This window comes from Homo sapiens, chromosome 13 (assembly GCF_000001405.40).
Source record: "Homo sapiens chromosome 13, GRCh38.p14 Primary Assembly".
NCBI classification, from domain to species: Eukaryota; Metazoa; Chordata; class Mammalia; order Primates; family Hominidae; genus Homo; species Homo sapiens.
Window position 1 is genome coordinate 39,441,418 of NC_000013.11, and position 21,537 is coordinate 39,462,954.

Sequence of the window (21,537 nt, forward strand, 5' to 3'; positions counted from 1 at the left end):
ATGGAGGAAAATGGAGAAAAAAGTCTACCGCCTTCCTGATATATTGCTTCAATTTTGTCATCAATTAAATTCAGAATTTCTGAAAAAAAATACTTTATTATTATTATTATTTTGAGACAGGGTCTCACTTTGTCACCCAGGCTGGGGTGCAGAGGCATGATTATGGCCCCCTGCAGCCTTGACCTCCTGGGCTCAAGTGATCCTCCCACCTCAGCCTCCCAAGTAGCTAGGACTACAGGCACATGCCACCATGCCCAGCTAATTACTGTATTTTTTTGTAGAGATAGGATTTCAGCATGTGTCTCAGCTGGTCTTGAACTCCTGGGCTCAAGCAATCTGCCTGATTCAGCTTCCCAAAGAGCTGGGATTAAAGCTGTAAGCCACTACACTGCACCTGGGCTAAAACTTTTTTTTTTTTTTTTTTTTTTTGAGACAGAGTTTCACTCTTGTCGCCTGGACTGGAGTGCAATGGTGCTGCCTCGGCTCATTGCAACCTCCGCCTCCCAGGTTCAAGCGATTCTCCTGCCTCAGCCTCCCAAGTAGCTGGGATTACAGGCATGCACCACCACGCCTGGCTAATTTTGTATTTTTAGTAGAGACAGGGTTTTACCACGTTAGCCAGGCTGGTCTCAAACTCCTGACCTCAAGTGATCCACCTGCCTCAGCCTCCCATAGTGCTGGGATTACAGGCATGAGCCACCGCCCCCAGCTGGCTAAAACTTCTTTAGGTGTCTCTACATATCAAATAGTCTTCTATGATCATGGGAAAGAACTGAGTTTAAAAAAAAAATTAGGTAGTTGAAAAATCTGAATATGTCAATAAGTATTCTGTTAAATTGTTATAAATGTCATATCACAAATTCCCTTTATTTCTTATCAGGGTATATATTTTTAGCTATTAAGAGATGATGTGTAAGTTTTTCAGTATAAGAAGCTCTTGAGCAAACCTTAAGAAAAATATGTTTAATACTTACATTGCCCCAAACAAGTTTCCATGTGTGGAGAAACTTTCTGGTGAGATTCATGTTCACATTTAAAATATCACTATAATCAAAACTTTGGAAAGTGCTAAAGGGTCTGATGGGCACTGACTAGCTGCAAAGGGAAGGGAAGGCATGAAAGAAGAAGGCATAGGCTGGGAATCTGGAGACAGAACCAATTCTGGGAACGATTGCTGATTAGCTATGTAGCTCTAAGTGTCTATCTTTCTTGATCTTAGTTTTCTGGTATGTGTATTGTATTAATGAAAATCTCAGAGGTTCTGTGGGCTCTGTAATTCTATTCTTTTTTTTCTTTCTTGCACTGTGAATTTTTGCCTTGTCTTTGTTCTCCCTCTTTTGGACTTCTCTGCATCATTTGGCAGTATTGAGAACAATCTCCTTCTTAAAACTCCATCCCTCGCTTTTATGGTGAGAACAACTCAGGGACTCATTTCAAATACTACTGTCCTCAATCAGAGCTGACCCTCATGGCTCAGTTCCTGAGCTAACTGAAGCTTCTTGTCTCTTTCTCTCTCTCTCTCTCTCTTATTCTCTCCTTTTTCAGAGAGTTGAAAATATCTAGTGTCTTCCATTAGTCCCTGCTGTGGCTTCAATGCATCCTCCAAAGTTCATGTGTTGCAAACTGAATCCCCAAGGCATGGTGTCTAGAAGTGGGACCTTTAAAAAGTGATTAGGTTACAAGAGTTCTACTCTCATAAATGCATTAACAATGTTACTATGGGAGTGAGCTAATTAACATGGGCATTGGTTAGTTATTGCAGGAGTTGGTTCATGAGAAAAGGATGAGTTCTGTCCCCTTTTCTTCCTCTGTCTCTCATATGCACTCTTTTGCCCTCCTGCTTTCTGTCATGGTATGACACAGCAAGAAGACCCTCACAAGATGCAGTCCCTCAGTCTTGGAATTCTTAGCCTCCAGACCATGAGCAGAATACATTTCATTTCTTTATAAACTCCAAAATCTCTGGTGTTGTGTTATAGCAGCACAAGCAGAAAATTGGTACAGAGAATGGGGTTGTTACTGTAACAAATACCTGAAAAGTGGAAGCAGCTTTAGAATTGGGTAATGCATAGAGGCTGGAAAAATTTGGAGCAGCAAGCTAGTAAAAGCTTGGATTGCTGTGAATGGAGTGGTAAGGGCAATTCTGGTGAGGGGTCAGAAGAAGACAAGAGCTGTAGGAGAACCTAAATCTTCCTACGGATTACTTAACTGGTCATGGTCAGAATGTTGGTAGAAATATGGAGTGTAAGGGCCATTCCAATACGGTATCAGACAGACATAAGAAGCAAGATATAGATGGTCCCCAACTTAAACAATTTTTTTTACTTTATGATGGTGTGAAAGTAATACGCATTCAATAGAAACAGTTCTTTCAGTACCCATACAACCATCCTGTTTTTCACTTTCAATATAGCATTCAATAAGTTACATGAGATATTCCATACTAGATTATACAATAGGCTTTTGTCTATAGGCTAATGTGAACATTCTGAGCATGTTTATGGTAGGCTATCCTAAGCTATGATGTTCAGTAGGTTTGATGTGTTAAATGTATTTTGACTTATTGTATTTTCAACATACAATGGGTTTATCAAGATGTAATCACATCATAAGTCAAGGAGCATTGGAAAGTGGAATAAAGGCCATCCTTTATCCTAGTTATACAGTTGTAAAGAACTTCATGGAATTATGTCCATGTCCTAGAACTTTGTGGAACGGGGGACTCAAGAGTGAGGAACTAGGATATCTGGCAGAAGAAATATCTAAGCAGCAAAGTGTTTAAGCTGTGCATAGCTTCTTTTAGATACTTACAGTAAAATGAAGGAAGAGAGAAATGATATAAAAATGGAATTTATAATTAAAACGAAAGCAGAATGGAAAGATTTGGAAAAATATCAGCCTGACCATGTAAAGAATAAAAAAGTTTGTTCAGCAGAGAATACTAAGGGTGTGGCCAAGAGACGTTTGCTAAAGAGATTCATATGGATAGAAGGAAGCCAGGTTCTACTCATCAAGACTATAGGACAATGACCTTGAAGGCATTTCAGAGATCTCCAAGGCAAGCTAGAACTTCAAGGGCAAGGTTTCCAGAGAGGTACCTACAAGACCTCAACATTCGCTGCCCTACATTGCCTTGGGACTCCACTCCTGGAATTCTGGTACAGCACCCCTCAGCTGCTCTGGCCATGGTTCAAGTGAGCTGAGGTGTGGCTTCACCTGCCACTCCACAGGGTACAAGCTATAAATCTTGATAACATCCATATGGTGCTAATTCTGAAGGCACACAGAATGCAAGAGTTGTGGGGCCATGGCAGCCTCCATCTAGGTTTCAAAGGATGTTACAGACAGTCGGGGGCTCAGGCAAAGACTTGTCACAGGGGTGGAGCCACTGGAGACAGTCCCTGCTAGAGCAATGCCTAGTGGAGCCATGGGAATGGTGTGGCCCCTGAGACCATGAACCACAGAGTCACCAGTGTGCAACTCCAGCCTGGAAAAACTGCAGGCACAAGACTTTAACTTGTGAGAGCTGCTGGGTGGACTGAGCCCAGCAAAGCCACAGGGGCAGGGCTGCCCTTATTAATTGGGTTAATGTCATTACCTCAGGAGTGAGTTTGTCATTATCACAGAAGTGAATTCAGTCCTCTCTTGCTATCTCTTGTGCACATTGTCACCATGTGATGCTTTCAGCCTTATTACGATGCAGCAATAAGGTCCTCACCAGATACGTCCCCTTGATCTTGAACTTCCCAACCTCCAGAACAGCCCAGTAAACTTCTATTGTTTATAAATTACCCATTCTGTGGTACTCTATTATAGCAGCATGAAATGGACACAGTCCCTTTACCTTGATAACTTATAAATCTCTATCTCTATGCCATATGACATCACATCACACAATGGAAAGAACATGAATTTGGGGCTTTAACAATACTTAGGTTCTTTAACTCAGGACTTTGTGAAGATTTACTGAAAATAACTTTTCCAGTTTTACAAATTAAAAAACACAGGATGAGAGAGGTCAGATGAATTTCTCACCCAGCTCCTAAATTGGACCTGACCCAAATTACCAGGAGAATGCTCAGTCTTAGTATAGAACAGATTTCAATAGACGTTTAGTAAAGTACTCTGGAATCCCTGCCCAGGAAGGGTATTAAAAGAAACAAATTCTGAGCTGAGTAAGTACTCAGGTTGGTGGTTATCTAATGTTTGCTTTTCATAATTTATTTAACAATTCTTTCCAAATAATTATTCAGTTGTCCATTAACTACATATTTGGTACAGCAGAATAAAACAAACAAAAAACAGTGGTACATCAGAATAAACTGGTCTCTTCAAATAGCAACTCAGAGTCTTTCAAGTAGACATCCTACCTTAGAGGACATCAAAGTTTGTTTGAAATGGAAACAGCCTCTCCAAAATGAGTCTTCAAAGGTTGCAAAGTACCACAGAAGAGCTTTAAATTTAGGCTTTTTTTCCTGTGGTACTTTAAGTATAACAGATGGGTCTTCATAATTAGCATCACATTTGCATTTTTCTCTCCACAAAAAAGAGCTAATAATCTTAGAAGGAGAATTAAAAAGCATCATTCCATCATATTTTTATTGATCTTATTTATAATTTGTATGCCAAGTCTTCTTTAAGATACCTATTACTTTCAACTCTCTCCTGGGAGATGAACAAATTTACAAATGAGGAAATGAGCATGGTAGTTAGGAGCACAAACTTGAAAATGACTTTGGGATGATAACTCACTGGAAGGCCCTGATAAAGTGGAAGAAATATGAAGATTCAGATACAGCCTGAAGCCCATCTATGTAATCTCCTCCAACAGAGTAGGCCTACTTATCTTTTGTGTATGTATCTATGAGACTCCCATCCTCTCCTGTGCACTGTAACTCCTACCACTCAGAACCATTTAGTTGAAAGGTGCTATGAAATAAGAGGAATCATTGAACAAACTGTCCTCATAGGCAAGCTCTCAAGCTCTCCCGATGTACAGCTGGAGACAGCTATTGATGAACTATGGTGGGTGCAGAAGTTAAACAGATACCATCTGCAGAGCACAGAGTAAGCAGAGGCCCTAGGACATTCAGCATGGGACAGTATACCCTGAGAGAACTGGGCCAGGGTAAACAAAGATCGTGTCCCAACTGTGTACCACAATCAACGTCGTATCTGAGGATCTCGGTGATCCTCATAGCTTCCCTATGAGGCTGATACCATCTTCATTCTGTAGCTAGAGAAACTAAGATTTAGGAAAGTAAACCATATTGCCCAAAGTACTCTAGTTAAGTGGCAAAGCCGGTATTTTCATTTAGGTCCCGTCCAATAGCAAACTTCACGATACTAAGTGGCATGCCATTTTGACCTGTTAACTATATGCAATACATTTGCTCTGGTAAAGGTTTTGCTTTAATTTGTCCATATCCAATCCCTCATAATCAATAACACAACTTTGTAAGTCACCTGAATACGAATAAGGAGTGTAATCAATGACCAAGAAACAGAAAAGATAAACTGGTTCACAGGGAGATTGAGCCCTCGACCTTAAGCTCTCTAGAGCTGAATTCTAACCAACCCAGTTAATTAGCCACAGACTATTAAATGAACAAATTAGAGCCCAAATCCTTTCAAACCACAAATCTAAGTTGGCCTTGTATAGGAACACAGAGTTAAATATGTACTGATTTTGTTTCATATCAGATGGGTAATGTGCCAACATCCTAATAAGGCTGAAGAAGGCACATCTCACACGTTACTGTGAAACCCAATCATCACGCTTATGAAGCACAAAAGGATCAATATGCACTGAATTTGAGTGTGCCCATTTAGTACAGTGCAGACTCTCTTGAGTGTCCCCAAATAGATGAAATTATAAGGGAAATTTTCATAATCTTTTTTTAAGCTTTCTCTTGCTGTTCATAATGCCTATACTTCACGATATTTTTTTTAAATTGATATATCTAATTTAGGAATCAAGTCTTTAAGAGGATCCTGGTTGAACTGCCAATTTTTCATCAGATTCATTAAACTCCACCCCATAGGTAAGATCAGACCTGGAATTCTTGAGTTGGAGAGTACTCCATGAAAGATACTGTGTGTCCTAAATGAAAAGCAGTAATACCACAAATCTAATTGATAAGATCTGCAAGCCCAGAGAGCCTGAAAGAGGAATTCCCTTTTGTTGCTACTGGACTTCAGGCCTCTTCAACAACACATGGAGTATATTCTGCACCCAGGGCTCAGTCTTACCCATCCACTTCTCAGTGGCACCAAGGTCACTCAACGGTTGAGTTCTCACACAGCAAGAGAGGAAAAGGGAAGGATGCAAGAAGAGGGAGATCCATCCCCGACCTAGTATAGTATTTGGGCCATTGCTCTTCTCCACCCTTCATAAATTACTGATAATTTTGAAAAGTCTGGAAAGTGAGAAACAGGAAGGATAAGGAGAAACTATAAGGAAAAAGGAGGGAATTCATCTGGGGATGTTCTTCCATTCCTCTTTCCTCATCCAGACCCTTCACATAGTCCTCCCATCTTCATTCTAATTCCTTGACCCTGAATATTTGTGCTACCCTCTTCCCAAATCCTAATCTCCTTCATTGTAGCCAGGCACCAGGCCAAATCAATCACACATTCAGAACTGTGGGAGTCTCCTCCCAGTTCTCAGGGGTGGTGGGAAGGCACAGATCTCAAAGCTACAGAGTTTCAGTGAGAGCAGATTTGTTGCTTGCATTTAAATTTTTGGAAGCCTCACTTTTCATGGAAATAATGTTCTCCAAGATGACTCAGTTTGATAGCACTGTTATTCAGGGTACATTTTGTGTTAAATATGCTCTTGTCTATTGGCCTCAGATCCTACATATCATAATATAATATTCTGAGGTCCAAACAAATACATTATGGAACACGACCTGCTTCTATGCAGGAGCTTTGTCTGTACTGCACATTTATTCATCAGGTAGGAAAGTGGGGAAGTTTGCAAAATAGAGAAGGATTCTTTAAAGAGGCGGGAACAAGGTTATCTAAAGAATCTAGCACATTGGCTAAATTATATAATTATGAAAAGAGCAGACATTAGGCACAAGAGAAATTCATCATTTTTGTATCTCTACTTTCATTTTCTGTAAACAATGTACAACTTAACGTACAAAATTGCTATGATCAGGTCTGCTGGTAGTTCTAGATTTAAATATGGAAAAGCCTCATTAACAGAAATCACATGCCTACAATTCTTTTTAACAGAACTTTTGGTTGTCCAAACCATCATTCATGAGAGAACTCTAAATTCAGACAGGTGAAATACACTTTTAATTTACTGATGTTAATCCAACCAGATCATTTGGAAATATTTAAAATGCCTGTAACAGGAACCATTTACTGGAAGACTATAATGAATTACTTAATGTGCTTATTTCAGGACAAAACTAAGAGTAATATTCTACTTTGTAAAGGGGATTAGATTTGCAATGAAAGGAACTTACTGGGGAAACTGGCCAATTGAAAGCTGGCAAAACAATGTGAGCAGATGCATTAGAAGTCATCTGATCTGGGGAGCTAATCCCAATGCTGTCAGACCTTCTAAAACTGCCTCAACCATGTCAATGCACAAATGGAAACTTATTGCTAGTCTGCAGCTTTAATAGGGCAAGGGAGGTGCTACTGGCCTCACAAGCCAGGGAAGCTTTTCCACTGCATCTCGGCTGCATGGGCCTCCAGCACTCACAGATACAGACGTCCACATCAACTGTAAACTGACCCTCTGTTCTGAATGACCAGTGATATTCCTCACTACATTTCACGACAGTTACTTGAAATATGCACTAAACACATATGTGTAAAATGTACTTAAATGGCAAACCAAAGAATTAACACCTGATTCTAAATCTGACAAATTAATAAAGTAATATTTACTTATACGGTTATAAAAGGTTAGTGTTATAATAAAAAATGTCCTCATTTGTCCTGGTCAAGGGTGTGAATGGATATGAAATAAGAAAATATGAAAAAGTAGTATTGATAGGAAAAGTATTTTCCAACATTGCAATTGTTATGATTTTCCCACAATATTATTTACAGAAGTAGATTTACAATTTTGCCATTTGAAAAATATTGTAACTGTGAAATAGTTAACATTCAGTTTAAAGTTTGGGATTTAAAATGAGCCTAAATTGACGAAACAGACTGCCTTACCTTTAATTTATATGATGGAACTTGTTTTCAGGACAGAATATAAGATATACAGATTGAGCCAAATCATCTAAGCAATTAAGATTTCATTATTGTGGATACCACTGGAGCCCACACTGAAAACTGAGTGCTATTAACCTAAAGATTTAAAGTCACGATATCTGTGACTCAGTTGCCAAGTCCATCCAAGGTCAATGGTTAAGAGTTCAATGATTCTGAAAGTAGCAAAAAAAAAAAAAAAAGGAATTTCAAACTAAGATTGAATAGTTTGCTAATTTCCACAGCTCTGCATCAGACTTACCTTCCCTGGCTTCTTCTTATAACATCTCCTTTATCCACAAATACTCATCTGACAATCTCATATATTTGGAACACAACTGAGAATCAATTAGCCAAGTCACAAAAGTCAAGCCATCAAATTCTTTGCTCTGTCTTGGAGGAGAAACTCATACACCATCAATTTTACAGATTATTTGCTTTTATGCTTTACCTAAAAATATTACAAATTTGGCAACCTGTTTTCTAAATCTCTAAAGAGTCTAAATTTCTAAAGAATGTTAGAAGCCATAAATAAATGGGGTTAGTACTTGTTATAGGTTCTATGAGAGCAGAGATACAATAGTAGACAAAATAGAAAATCTGTCAAAACTGACTAAAGCTTAAAAAGCACAATAGTCTGGGGATACTGCAGTGAGAACCAATATAACTCAATAGGTCCTGCTGGCATCATGGTACTGCATTCATAGTAGAAGAGTTGATGTTCATTCTGATGTCTGATTCATTCAGAAAGTTCCTATTTTGTTTGGTTTAGTCAGTTTAATGAGTTATGAAAGTACTAATTCATTTTAGAAAGCTATCCATTTAAAAGGCTTAAAACAATATGTATGTGTATGTGGGTGTGTGGGTGTGAGATATCTACCTAGATATGGCTATATAAAGAGATATCTGTGTCTCTCTCTATCTATCCATGCTTAGATTCTAAGAACTTCAAGCTGATTTTGCCTACACTCAGTAGGTGCTGCTAGTACACCCAGGTGTACTAAGTGGGTGGCTTCTTGATTTGAACCACTAAATAGTGGGGTTTTGGTAGGTCTGAACCAAGTGAATTCCGTTTCTGTAGGTCAAAAACAGTCAAATATCAGTCATTTCATATGGCTCCAGCTAATGTTATTATGGGCCATTTTGTGATATGTATAATATTCCCATACAGTATTTTACTTAGCTGAATTATAAAATTAAATTAGACTATAAACATACAGTAACTGAGCAGTAGGGACCCTGAACTGCAAAGAAAAATGTGATTAATGTCACAATAGAAGTAAAAATAATAAAACAAAACCTGATATTTAAGAGTTCACATATTAGGACCCTCAATTACCACAAATTTACCACGAAGAGTTTTATTCTAACTCACAATAATACTAGGTAATATTTTATTTCTACTCTCCGGAAGATAGCTGGATTGTAAACACCAGTTGCTGGCTTATGATTGCCCAGGAAATGTGCACTGAAGCTAAAATGGAAACTTGTCAGGTTTTTCTCCCAGTCATGAGATCCATTTTGTTTGTTTATTTATTTATTAAGGGGGAGATGTGTGATTAAAAATAGTTTACAGAGTCAATGGAAGATACTATTAAGTTTGTTCATATTTCTGTTAAAAACAAGAAAACCTGAACTTTTGTTTTATTCTGCAGCAACTAAGATATTGGGTGATTAACAATGGGTAAAGGAAAAACATCAATTGGCAGTATGATTTTATTATAAGTAAATTTATTTCCAAGCTGGGAATATGCTTTGTGATTTCAGAAGATCAGGGTTTATAATCATTGTTAACCTTGCTGAGAAACAGTTGGCCTGTAGCCAACCTATTACATAACCTAGCCAAAGAAAGAAAACTGTTTCACAAAAAGCCACTAAATCAAACTCGCACTATTGTTGGCTATTAAATGAGCTTGTTTTGAACTCAAATGTATGCTCTTCAGAAGATTAAAGTAGTATGTTTAGAAAGTACATAAAAGCTGTTTATAACAAAGCAGGGTCTTATAATGATAGTTTAATTCCTTACATGTCCTATCAGCATATGTCTCTACTGTTAATATTTTCTTTTTAATAAGTCTCATAAAGTAGGTTGAGCCAAATAGATTCTCCTTTCCTGGTCTTTTTTAAAGCATTATCAAGTTACACCCTTTACTAATATTCCTAAAGATCTAAAGATTCTAGTATATATTCAAGTAATTCCTGTTAAATATTGTGAGAAAAATCCTATCTAAGCATAGTAATAAAACTATAGAAAGCAGAAGTGTAAAACTACAGGAAATATGTGTGTGTGTGTGTGTGTGTGCGCATGCACGTGCATAAGACAAGCTTAAAAACTATTTTTGGACCAGGGCCATGAACTGAATGAATATGATCTTCATCAAGGCCCAAGAGGAACCTTACACTTTAAAGGAACAAAAACTTTCTATGGACAATTTGTTATGTACAGCTACATCAAGGTTAAAAAAAAAAAGGATATAACAGAGAGTTTAAATGAGGTCAACAGAATTACACCAGCTGGTCCCACTCCCCACTGGGCTGCGGAGGGAAGTGAAGCAATCCACAGGACACAGGTTTAATCCAGACAAGGCTTCACAGAAAAAGAAAATCAACACAGCACATTGCACTGAAAAACAATCTTCAGCCGGTCCAGATTATGGAGTACTAGGAGGACTCCATATTTGAAATGTTTGCCCTTCAAAGAGAAACTCTTACATACTAAGCCAGTTAGCCCAGGTTTTGATACAAATCACCAAATTCAGAAATACAGACTTCAACTTAGAGAAGAGAAAGGGAGGAGGGGGTCATACATTTTGGTGAAAGCAAATGGAAAACCACAATTGCCTATGTTACGATAATGCCTTAAAAATGTAAAGTGGAGCAGTAGGGAGATGCTCCTCCCTTTCTTCACAGATCCCAGTGCTGTCTCACATGGAGTGTGGGGTGACAGGAGGACTTTGTGCAGGGCTCTGCTAGACTCATTATGATGATACCCAGACACCGGGTGTCTCACACACATTCCTCTTCTGCTGCCTCATTCAAACACCACAATTAAGATGCTGAAGACTGTAATTCAAGCTAAAGGAAGAGCCGCAAGAATAATGGCCAATGCATAAATTTAGATGTGAAAAACAGACATATCCATTGATAGTATTATTGGGACAGCCACTCCATTTAAAAATAGGGCATCCTAGTCTTTTTCCCTTTATAATGCTCTCCTCTTGCTTAGCTGGCTCTGTTCTCTATAGTTCTGTACCATCCTCTGGTTTTGTCCATCTGTCTCAGTTTCCTTCCCCCAGAGATAGTGATAGAGATTGTTACTTTTGCCAGAGGCAGCCTGGAATAAACTGAGATGCCAGGAACAAAGAGGCCTCCCTGGAATCCTGACCTTTCAAAAGCTTTTTATGAACACTTGAGATAGAGAGAAGCCTGCTGACTTCACTCACCTGCATATACCAGACAGAAGAACACAGAAGGCCGTTCTTTTTTTGGCCTTACCCTGAGAGTTGAGGTCATTCTTGCCCCTAATAGAATACATTTTCACTGGCTTTACTTGAAAAACTACATTTAAGTGATGGCATGGCAGTTACGGCTGAAAATAAGCCTAGTTTATTCAAATAAAATAAGCAACATTTCATTGAATTTACATTAGAGCAAAAAATAAAATGAAAGGTAGCATCAGGCAAATTAAGAGGATGAATGAAGCTATATCAATGTTAGGCTTATGTAGTATTTCTACTGTGAGTAGCCTTGAAGTATATCATGATGGGCATTTAACTCATGCAGTACCTTTTGCCTAAAAATAGAGAACCCTTTATCTCAAAAAGCAAATAAAATACTTTGTGTCATGTTTTTATAATGTTGAGATTTGTAAAAACTTATATTGATTATCTCATTTAAATTTCATTAAAATATTCAACATTGGCAAGGCAAGTATTAGTACCCCAGCTAAGGAATCCAGACTGATAGAAGCAGCAGCTAAGTGAAAATCAGGCCACGCTATTGGTAAGGGAGTGTTTCTACTTCCACCTCATGACTAACTACCTGATATAAAGTGAGTCCCTTGCCTTCCCTGGGCAGGTAGTCCATTCATTTGTTCTTTAACTCAACAGCATGGGTGTGAGTTGAACAAGACAGACAAATTACTGCAATGTGTATCATGACTGGAGAAAGAATTCAACAAGCAAGTCGTGTGTGATATGGTTAAGGAAAAGAAGAATCTAACTTTCTCTTCAATGCAGTTCTAGCCCATCGGCCACCTGAGAGCAATGGGATAAGGCCAAAGTCAAGGTCAGGCTCAGGGGTTTTGAGTGTATACGTGGACTTCCTAAGATACACTTCGATTGAGTTCTTTTATTGCATCCCCTAGGCAAATGCAATTGATTTCAGAATTATTGATTGTTTTGGATGTTCCAACCCAGTTTCCCTTCATACTTGGGGATAATCAAGAGCTGATTTCTGATTCTCAAGAAAAATGGAGAATTTAAGGAATATTAGATCTCAAACTATCGGTATAATCTTCTAATTTGTCTCATTATAAAGTATTCTATTTCTATAGGACAGGTTAATAATCCAGAAAAATGAAACTAAGATGATCAAAACCTGTAGTTAATACTTTAAAATACAATCCAACACCATTTAATCTTCTGAGTTGGTGACACTCCAATTTCTTCTCTCTAACGTTTCCTTAAGAGTTGTAATTGGGGCCGGGCGCGGTGGCTCACGCCTGTAATCCCAGCACTTTGGGAGGCCGAGGCGGGCGGATCATGAGGTCAGGAGATCGAGACCATCCCGGCTAAAACGGTGAAACCCCGTCTCTACTAAAAATACAAAAAATTAGCCGGGCGTAGTGGCGGGCGCCTGTAGTCCCAGCTACTTGGGAGGCTGAGGCAGGAGAATGGCGTGAACCCGGGAGGCGGAGCTTACAGTGAGCCGAGATCCCGCCACTGCACTCCAGCCTGGGCGACAGAGCGAGACTCCGTCTCAAAAAAAAAAAAAAAAAAAAAAAAAAAAGAGTTGTAATCAAAGGATGCCTGGGTAAGAGCTGGGTTTGGTTTTGGTACTTAGGTCTTTTGGTAATTCCATTTTAGCACCACTGAATTATCATTAGTGCTTTAAAGAGCTGCCTTTTGTGGATAGAATGAATTATTATACATATTCATCATTTTTGTCTTCCTACTGATACATTTAAGGAGTGGAGATACAATATTTTCATCCAATAGGTCACAATGCATATAATTGCTGACATTTTAAATGCATCTGGAAAAATAAATGTTACTATATTATTGTAGATTATAGAGTGTCCTTCACTTTTTTACTTTTATTATTTCCACTTTGGAGATTCTGTCAATAAAAGTCAAGTGCCATTCCACCCTGTGAGGGTACAGGGAGAAGAAGCTGTCTTTCAATCAGAAAATGGGCCCTCACCAGACACTAAATCTGCTTGTACATGGGTCATGGGCTTCCCAATCTCCAGAATTGTGAGAAATAAAGTTTTGTTGTTTAGAAGCCCCCAACTCCCTCGAAAAAAACCAAGTCAAGTGGTTTCAGCTGTTTCATGTTTAAATCATTTAACAAAATGTTCTGGGCGCCCAGAGCATGCAGAATACTCCCCCTAAAGCAGCTACAGCCGGGCCGGCGGCAACCCCTCATCCTGACCTGAAAACTGGGTTAGTCATGGAAGAACACAGGGAGTGAAAAAGTTGAAATTTCACAGCATGCTCTGAAATAACGGAATATAAAGGTACACACTGCTCCCATCAAAGGAGAAAAGGTGTGGTTTTATTTCCACATACCATCAATATTTTTAGCATAAAAATACCTAAATCATTTGAATACCAAATCCCATCTTCCATTTTGTCAAAAATAATGACCTTTATTCTAAATTGCCAAGAGTTTCATTAGTTCTAGAGAGAGCAGAAATGCTTAGTGCAGCACCAATGACTCCTGCTCAGAAGCCTAAGGAAGAGAAATGCCTTATGAGGACAATAACCTGATTTTATTTCACTTGGGAACAAGGCTTTTGAGTCTCTTGTTGCTTCTCACAGTTAACGTAATGTATTTATCAGATGCTGCGAAGCGATTACTTCATCTGCTCCAGTCATCAGAGGCAAATAAGATTACCATGTGAGACAGCAGAGAAAGGAACTTGTTTTTTCTAACCACATTAAAGTCACACAGCCTATGTTGTTTACATGAACAAAACACATAAGAAACAAATAAAAAAATCAGAAATTTGATTAAATTTCAGATGAACCATGTTATGAATACGGAAACACATACATTTACTTGAAATCCATATCATTGTCATCAAAACAGGACACAAATGTATTGACTTGACTGCCAGAGGCTGGAAGTAAGTGATAAGAGCTGGAATGTGTTGCTCAGAGTGGTTAACAAGGAAATAGAAACAATCCAGTAGCAAGCAAGAGAAGGACACAATCTTCCTGAGGGCAAAAGCCATTGCTAACTTATTTGGACTCACATCTAGACAAGTGTCAGTTTCTTAAAAGTGCCTATTAACCAATCTGGGCCACATCTTCCTGGGGATAATCTGCAGACTGGCAGAAAATTGACTCTTTTGGAGATAAATGTATATGCTCTTCCAAATTTCAGAGGATTGTTTAGAAAATAACTATTCAAGGATTTGACTTTACTCCCAAATCTGTAAAAGGATGATATTAGATAGCACTTTACTCCCAAATCTGTAAAAGGCTGATATTAGATAGCAGAAATACAGATTTTCACTTTTGATAAACTGCGAAAAGTCAAGAGATCAATGTATTTCCTGGCTTGAAGGAAATTAAACCAAAAACAATTCTTCACAAAATATTAATATATTGAATACAACAATATATAATTAGGACAATATATTATGACAAAGTGGGGTTTATCCCAGTAATGCAAGGCAATTAATGTAATCCACCATACTAATAGATTTTTGACAAAGATGCCAAGGAAATTTAATGAGAGAAGAGATAGACTTTTCCACAAATGGTGATGGATCAGCTAGATATCTGCATGGAAAAATACAAAAGAACCTCAGACTGCATTCAAAAATTAAGTTTAAATGAATTATGAATCTCAACATAAGAGCTAAAATGTTAGAAGAAAACACAGGAAAAAACATTTGTGATATTGAATTAGACAAAGATTTCTTTTTTTTTTTTTTGAGACAGAGTCTTGCTCTGTAGCCCAGGCTGGAGTGCAATGGCGTGATCTCGGCTCACTGCAAACTCCATCTCCCGGGTTCAAGCCATTCTCCTGCCTCAGCCTCCCAAGAAGCTGGGACTACAGGCATGAGCCACCACGCCCGGCTAATTTTTTTTGTATTTTTAGTAGAGGTGGGGTTTCACTATGCTGGCCAGGCTGGTCTTGAACTCTGGACCTCAAGTGATCCGCCAGCCTCGGCCTCCAAAACTGCTGGGATTATAGACGTGAGCCACAGCACTTGGCCAAATTAGACAAAGATTTCTTAAGCACAAATTATAAAAGAATGATAAAATGGATTTATCAAAATGAAAAATCTTATATTTGAAAAAACACAGTTAACAAAAATACAAGCAACATACTAGGAGAAAATCTTTGCAATACATATGTCCAACAAATAGCTTGTATCTACAATATACGAAGAACTCTTATAATTCAAGAAGACAATCTAAAAATGAGCAAAAGATTTGAACAGACACTGCACAAAAGAAGGTATACAAATGGGCAATAAGTACATGAAAAGAAGTTCAACATCACTAGTTATTAGGGAAATGTGAATTGAAATCACAATGAGATATCACTACACACCTACTAGATTGGCTACAGTTGGAAAGGTTCACAATACCAAGTGCTGGAAAGGATGTGGAGCAAGTAGATCTCTCATACATTGCTGGTAAAAATGCAAAATCATACAGGTACTTGGGAAAGCAGTATAGCAATTTCTTACAATATTAAAGGTACATTTACCATATGACTCTGCAATCTATTCCTGTTTGCGCAAAGGCAAAACCACAATGACAAAAATCAGGTATGTGGTAAAGGGAGAAGGTGACTTGGTGACTTTTTAAGATGAGGAAACTGTTGTATATCTTGATAGTGGTAGTGGCTAAACAATTGAATAGCCAAAATTCCTCAGGCCACACCCTTAAAATAGGTGAATTGTATTGTATAAATATACTTTAATAATAAATAAAAGTAAAAATTACATAAATGTTCCTATTTATCCACTGCCTGTTCATATAGAAAAGAACATAGAAAATGGCCACAGAGTAACACAGTGAAATTAAGATTTTGAGAAAAGAGTGATCAGAAATCCAGATCCTAAAATGTCAAGTCCAGCCCAAAGAAACTACCTTTCACCACTATGAATATCATCCAGGAGCTTTTATTATATTTTTGGGAAAAGTGTTATTACCTGTAAGACAGTAATAACAGCTGATTCTGGGTACATTCAATTACATAATGGAGAAATAGTTTCATCCTGTAACAGATTTCCAATGACAGTTTGCCTTTAGTAAACCTTGAAGAAGGCGAGAGAAAAGGATGGGAGGGGAAAAGAATGGAAGAAAGAGAGCTAAAGAGGAAAATGAGAGAGGAATGCCAACCAGGAGAAAGAACAGCTGACCAAAAAACAAAACAAAACAAAGCAAAATAGTAGAAAAGTACAGGCTAAGAAAAGAGGTTACGGGAAAAACAGGGGAAGAACTGAGCAATACAAATGGATACACACCTAGGAAAACAAGAGATGTGAGAAAGAATGTTGAGGTCAATGAAAGCAAGCAAGCCAGGCGCGGTGGCTCATGCCTGTAATCCCAGCACTTTGGGAGGCTGAGGTGGGTGGATCACTTGAGGTCAGAAGTTCGAGACCAGCCTGGGCTACATGGCAAAACTCCTTCTCTACAAAAAATACAAAAAAATGAACCAGTCATGGGGGCCTGCATGTGTAGTTGCAGCTACTCAGGAGGCTGAGATGGGAGGATCACCTGAGGCCATGAGAGGCTGCAGTGAGCCGTGATTGTGCCACTGCACTCCAGCCTGGGCAATACAGCAATACCCTGCCTAAAAAAAAAAAAAAAGGCAAGCAGAGTCCAAGTCAGACACCAGGTACAATGGGTGGACAGAGAAAAAGTAACTATAAATGAGGAAAGAAAAAAAAAAGAGGGTTAGGAAGTCCACATTTGGATGGGAACATGAGACATGAGAGTGCCAATATTATTTTGTTGTAAAATTAAAATATTGTAAGGAAATACCGAAGAAATAACTTGAAGAATTACTTTCCAGATGTTTTCAACACACTTTTTTTCCTTCTATGAACTGTAACCTTCCTGGGGCCTTTTAAAATCTTACTTGGCTCTCTTAAATGTAAATACCTCAATTTAAGGCATGGTTTCCCTTCCAAGGACTTTTAATTTATACATTTTAATAATTCTCTTCAAGGCTTTCAAAATGCCCATGAAATGACTTCCCACTATGAAGCACAGGGACAAGAGGGAGATAGATTATAAAGACCTGCCTGTGTTCTGGTTCCAGGTCTGTCAGTAATAGCTGGACAAGTTCCTTAATGTGTGTGTGTGTGTGTGTGTGTGTGTGTGTGTGTGTGTGTGTGTGTTCGTGTGTATTGTGTATGTGTGTTAACAAACCAGTTTTCCAGTTCCACTTATTTCACTCCCTTTTCTTTCTTCTTTACTCTTTCCTGTTTTCCTTCCTTTCCTTAATTCTATTTCATGGTTTTTCCTTTCTCTCTCCTTCCCTTCTTTTTCTCCCTTCCAACAAACCTGAGAACATGCTGCAGGCTGATCACTGTGCCAGCTGCCAGGGACACAAAGCCACAAGCGGTTCCACCCTGCTCAGGATCTGGGCTGGCTGGAAGGTAGCTGACTCGTCAGTAATTTTCAATACTTTAACATTAAGGAGAAACAACTACTGACCATTCTATCCTCCAATATTAGTCCTTGAAAGCAAGACTTTCTTTCCCATGGGAATTTAAACCTTTGGGATATGACATTTTTCTTGGTTATACACTCTTATTTATCTCCCCATTCCCTAATGTCATGTCTTCGCAATTCAGTTTGGAATTTTAAAACTCAGCCTGACAAGACAGCCTGAGGGTCCCGCAAAGTTGAAGCTATAAACATGATCATGTGAACTTAGGGATAATCATTTGTGGCAACAACAAAAACTCCAGCAACCTGAAACATAAACAACTTCAGAAAAATGTGCCTCATTTTAGCAGGGTTTTGATGTGTAAGAAATCACTAAAAATAGGTTTGAAAATATCCTAACTGGTGTTGACATATTAGCATACCTTACAACTCTTCTAGATTTCCACAATTATTACAAAGAATGTGGAGTAAGAGGATCTTTTCTTTAAAAAAAAAGATATATGTCTTTGTATCTTAATCCCTCCCCTTCTTAACTTACCTTACAAAATTTAATTAATGCCTTGAATATCTATAGAAATTTCTCTTCTCATGCTATGACTAATTGATCTCTGCAAATTAGCAAGTGTTTCAACCAAAAAGCTCACACCATACGATGCTTAGTAGTTTACTTGATACAACCCATAAAACATGACAGGCTCAAGAAAGAGCAAAGCTCACATCCACCTTAATACAAGTTAAGGTTCAAGAATACAATGGTTTATTACCTAAAGTAAGATAGTTAAAAGAGCTCTGATCAAATTACTCAATAAGAACTCCAATCCTTTCCTTAGTCTCAAGAGGCGACACAACAAGAACCATGGTGGAAATGGTTAATTATGGTGGAAATATTAAAGGTGCTTTTGACACAACCTGGGCATTGGTCTAAGCTTATAAGAGAACAGAAAACAACCCAAACAAGCAGCTGGCCCAGGATTCACAGCATCCCTTTCTCAGCAATTCTGAATTATGATTTCTTAAAGAGAAATAGTGGGTTCTTTCAAGTTACTTGGTACAGAACCCAGAACATGTGTGCATACTTAATAAACAGTATTTGATGACAAAACAAATGCAAACAGTGTTGGCTATTTTGAGAGTCATGCTCCTTAATGACTTGAACTCCTAACAGATGCTCTAGGTAGGAGTTAACTAGCTCCCTTGGAGCAGACATTTCATTTGCTCTTTGAAAATATTAATAGGGAGAAAAGACTTGCTCTGTGTTTCTGCCAGTGCTTTAAAACAAGACGTCCTTTCATCTGTGCGTGTTTTTTTCTTTTTTTCCTTTCCAACTTTTATTTTAGGTTCAGGGGGTGCATGTGCAGGTTTGTTACATGGGTAAATTACGTGTCATGGGAGTTTGGTATACAGATTATTTTGTGACCCAGGTGATAAGCATAATACCTGATAGGTAGTTTTTCAATCCTCACCCTCCTACTACCCTCCACCCTCAAGTAGGCCTAAGTGTCTATTGTTCCCCTCTTTGTGTCCATGTTTACTCAATGTTTAGCTCTCATTTAGAGGGGAGAACATGCAGTATTTGGTTTTTCTGTTCTTGCATTAATTCGCTTAGGATGATGGCCTCCAGGTCCATCCATGTTGCTGCAAAGAACATGATCTTGTCGTTTTTATGGCTGCATAGGAGTCCATGGTGTATATGTACCACACTTTCTTTATCTAGGGTACCACTGATGGGCATTTAGGTTGATTCCATGTCTTTGCTATTGCGAATAGTACTGTGATGAACACACGTGTGCATGTGTCTTTTTAGTAGAATGATTTATATTCCTTTGGGTATATACGCAGTAATGGGATTGCTGGGTCAAATGGTAATTCTCTTTCAAGCTCTTTGAGAAATCTCCAAACTGCTTTCCACAGTGGCTGAACTAATCTCCATTCCCACCAGCAATGTATAAGCACTATCTGTATAATGTTTACTGCTACATTCACAAGGGCAGGTAGGGGAGGAATCTAGTTCCACAGTCCACAGACAAACCGGAGAACTTTAACATCATCACAAATCATCACCCCTTAAGCAAGTTTCTCCTGACAGCTGAGACATTATCAAAGATGATTTATATTCAGAGATGCTAAGGCTAGTCTATGCCCAAAAGGAAAAAAAAACATGACCTTTAACTAGTTATACCTGGGGAAGGGAACCAAAAAGGGTGAAGGTGAAGGGACAGCTGGGAAAGTCAAAATAAAAATCTACCCAGAAACCTGCTGCTGAAGTATTTGCATTAAACAGTCTCAGCCCAGCATACATTGGTACATCCCATTGGAATTTCTTCTTCTCTAAATATGAGCCTACTTCAGGCATTTGCCATGTCATCAACTATCACTATTTTTTTAAATTCCTGAATTCTTTAGGGTTAGAAATCTCTCACAACAAAGACAAAAAAGTAGACTAGGATTCACTTTAAAAAAAAAATGCCCTGTGGCTGAGTCTGTCACCTGGGAATGTTTCAAAGTCAGCTCTCATCTTGGGGCAGTGCTTAGCAGAGGTGGGGCTGACTATACTGGGTCTCCTGCCTCCGACAGGTTCCAGTCTCCTCTCACTGAACTACAAATTTTCTAACTCTTTATGGACAGAGCAGACACTTGGCAACTAACTCCCTTTCTCTTATTAGGTCTCTCTTCAGAAAGGCTGGAGATGACACTGCTAACACCACCTTTAGAAGAAGAGGCAGCTCAACCCTCAGAAACACTCCCCTCTAAGGATTTATTTATCAAAATGTCACCACAATAATTGTTACAGCCAGCCTTGCTCCTTCAAAACCATGCTGCCTTGATAGACTACAGTTAGTTAAAATTCCTTTGCTTTGGTTGCTTTTAAAAAAAAATGTGTGTGTTACTGTATCTCACACACCACAGCTTTAGGAAATGTTAGCAAACTGCAAATAATCTCTCACTCACATAATTGTCAAGATGTTTAAAGTCATTTCCTTCTACAAATATGTCCAAACTCTGTTATCCTATCCCTATAAAGTTATATATCATTCAAGGGCTTTTAAGGAAAGTACACAAACCTGTATTAAGCAACAAATAAATGCCACAGACCAGGCTATGTGCTATTCATTACCCTCTCACTCTGTGAAGTGGGCAGTGGACATTCCTGTCTCTGTTTTACAGATAAGAAAACAAAGCCAGGCAAGTCCAAAGCAGTAGATGGCAGAGGCAAGAATCAAATTCAAGTCTGCGTGATTCCAAGTTCCAGTGATGTGCTTTCCTATGTTATTGTGACCCTCAAAAAGCCTCACGCATTTAAGTTTTGTGGGAACAAGGTGAAAATTGCCCCTGAGAAGCTTGGATTCATTCTTCGGGATGGGGCTGGGGGTGCTGGCATGGTTAACTTCAAGGAAAAGGCTTAGTCAAACCAGGCTGTAATCATACAAACTCATGCTCT

General features: G+C 38.6%; 1 protein-coding gene and 1 non-coding gene across 3 annotated transcripts in view; both read right to left on the reverse strand.

The window, feature by feature from the left end:
- Nucleotides 1-21,537, reverse strand: part of LHFPL6 (LHFPL tetraspan subfamily member 6) — a 260,302-nt gene that overhangs the window by 98,526 nt on the left and 140,239 nt on the right. The window lies entirely within an intron of this gene.
- On the reverse strand, nt 5,698-5,799 carry LOC124903266 (small nucleolar RNA U13). Its single transcript, XR_007063965.1, has one exon. It is a non-coding gene; the product is annotated as a small nucleolar RNA U13 (small nucleolar RNA).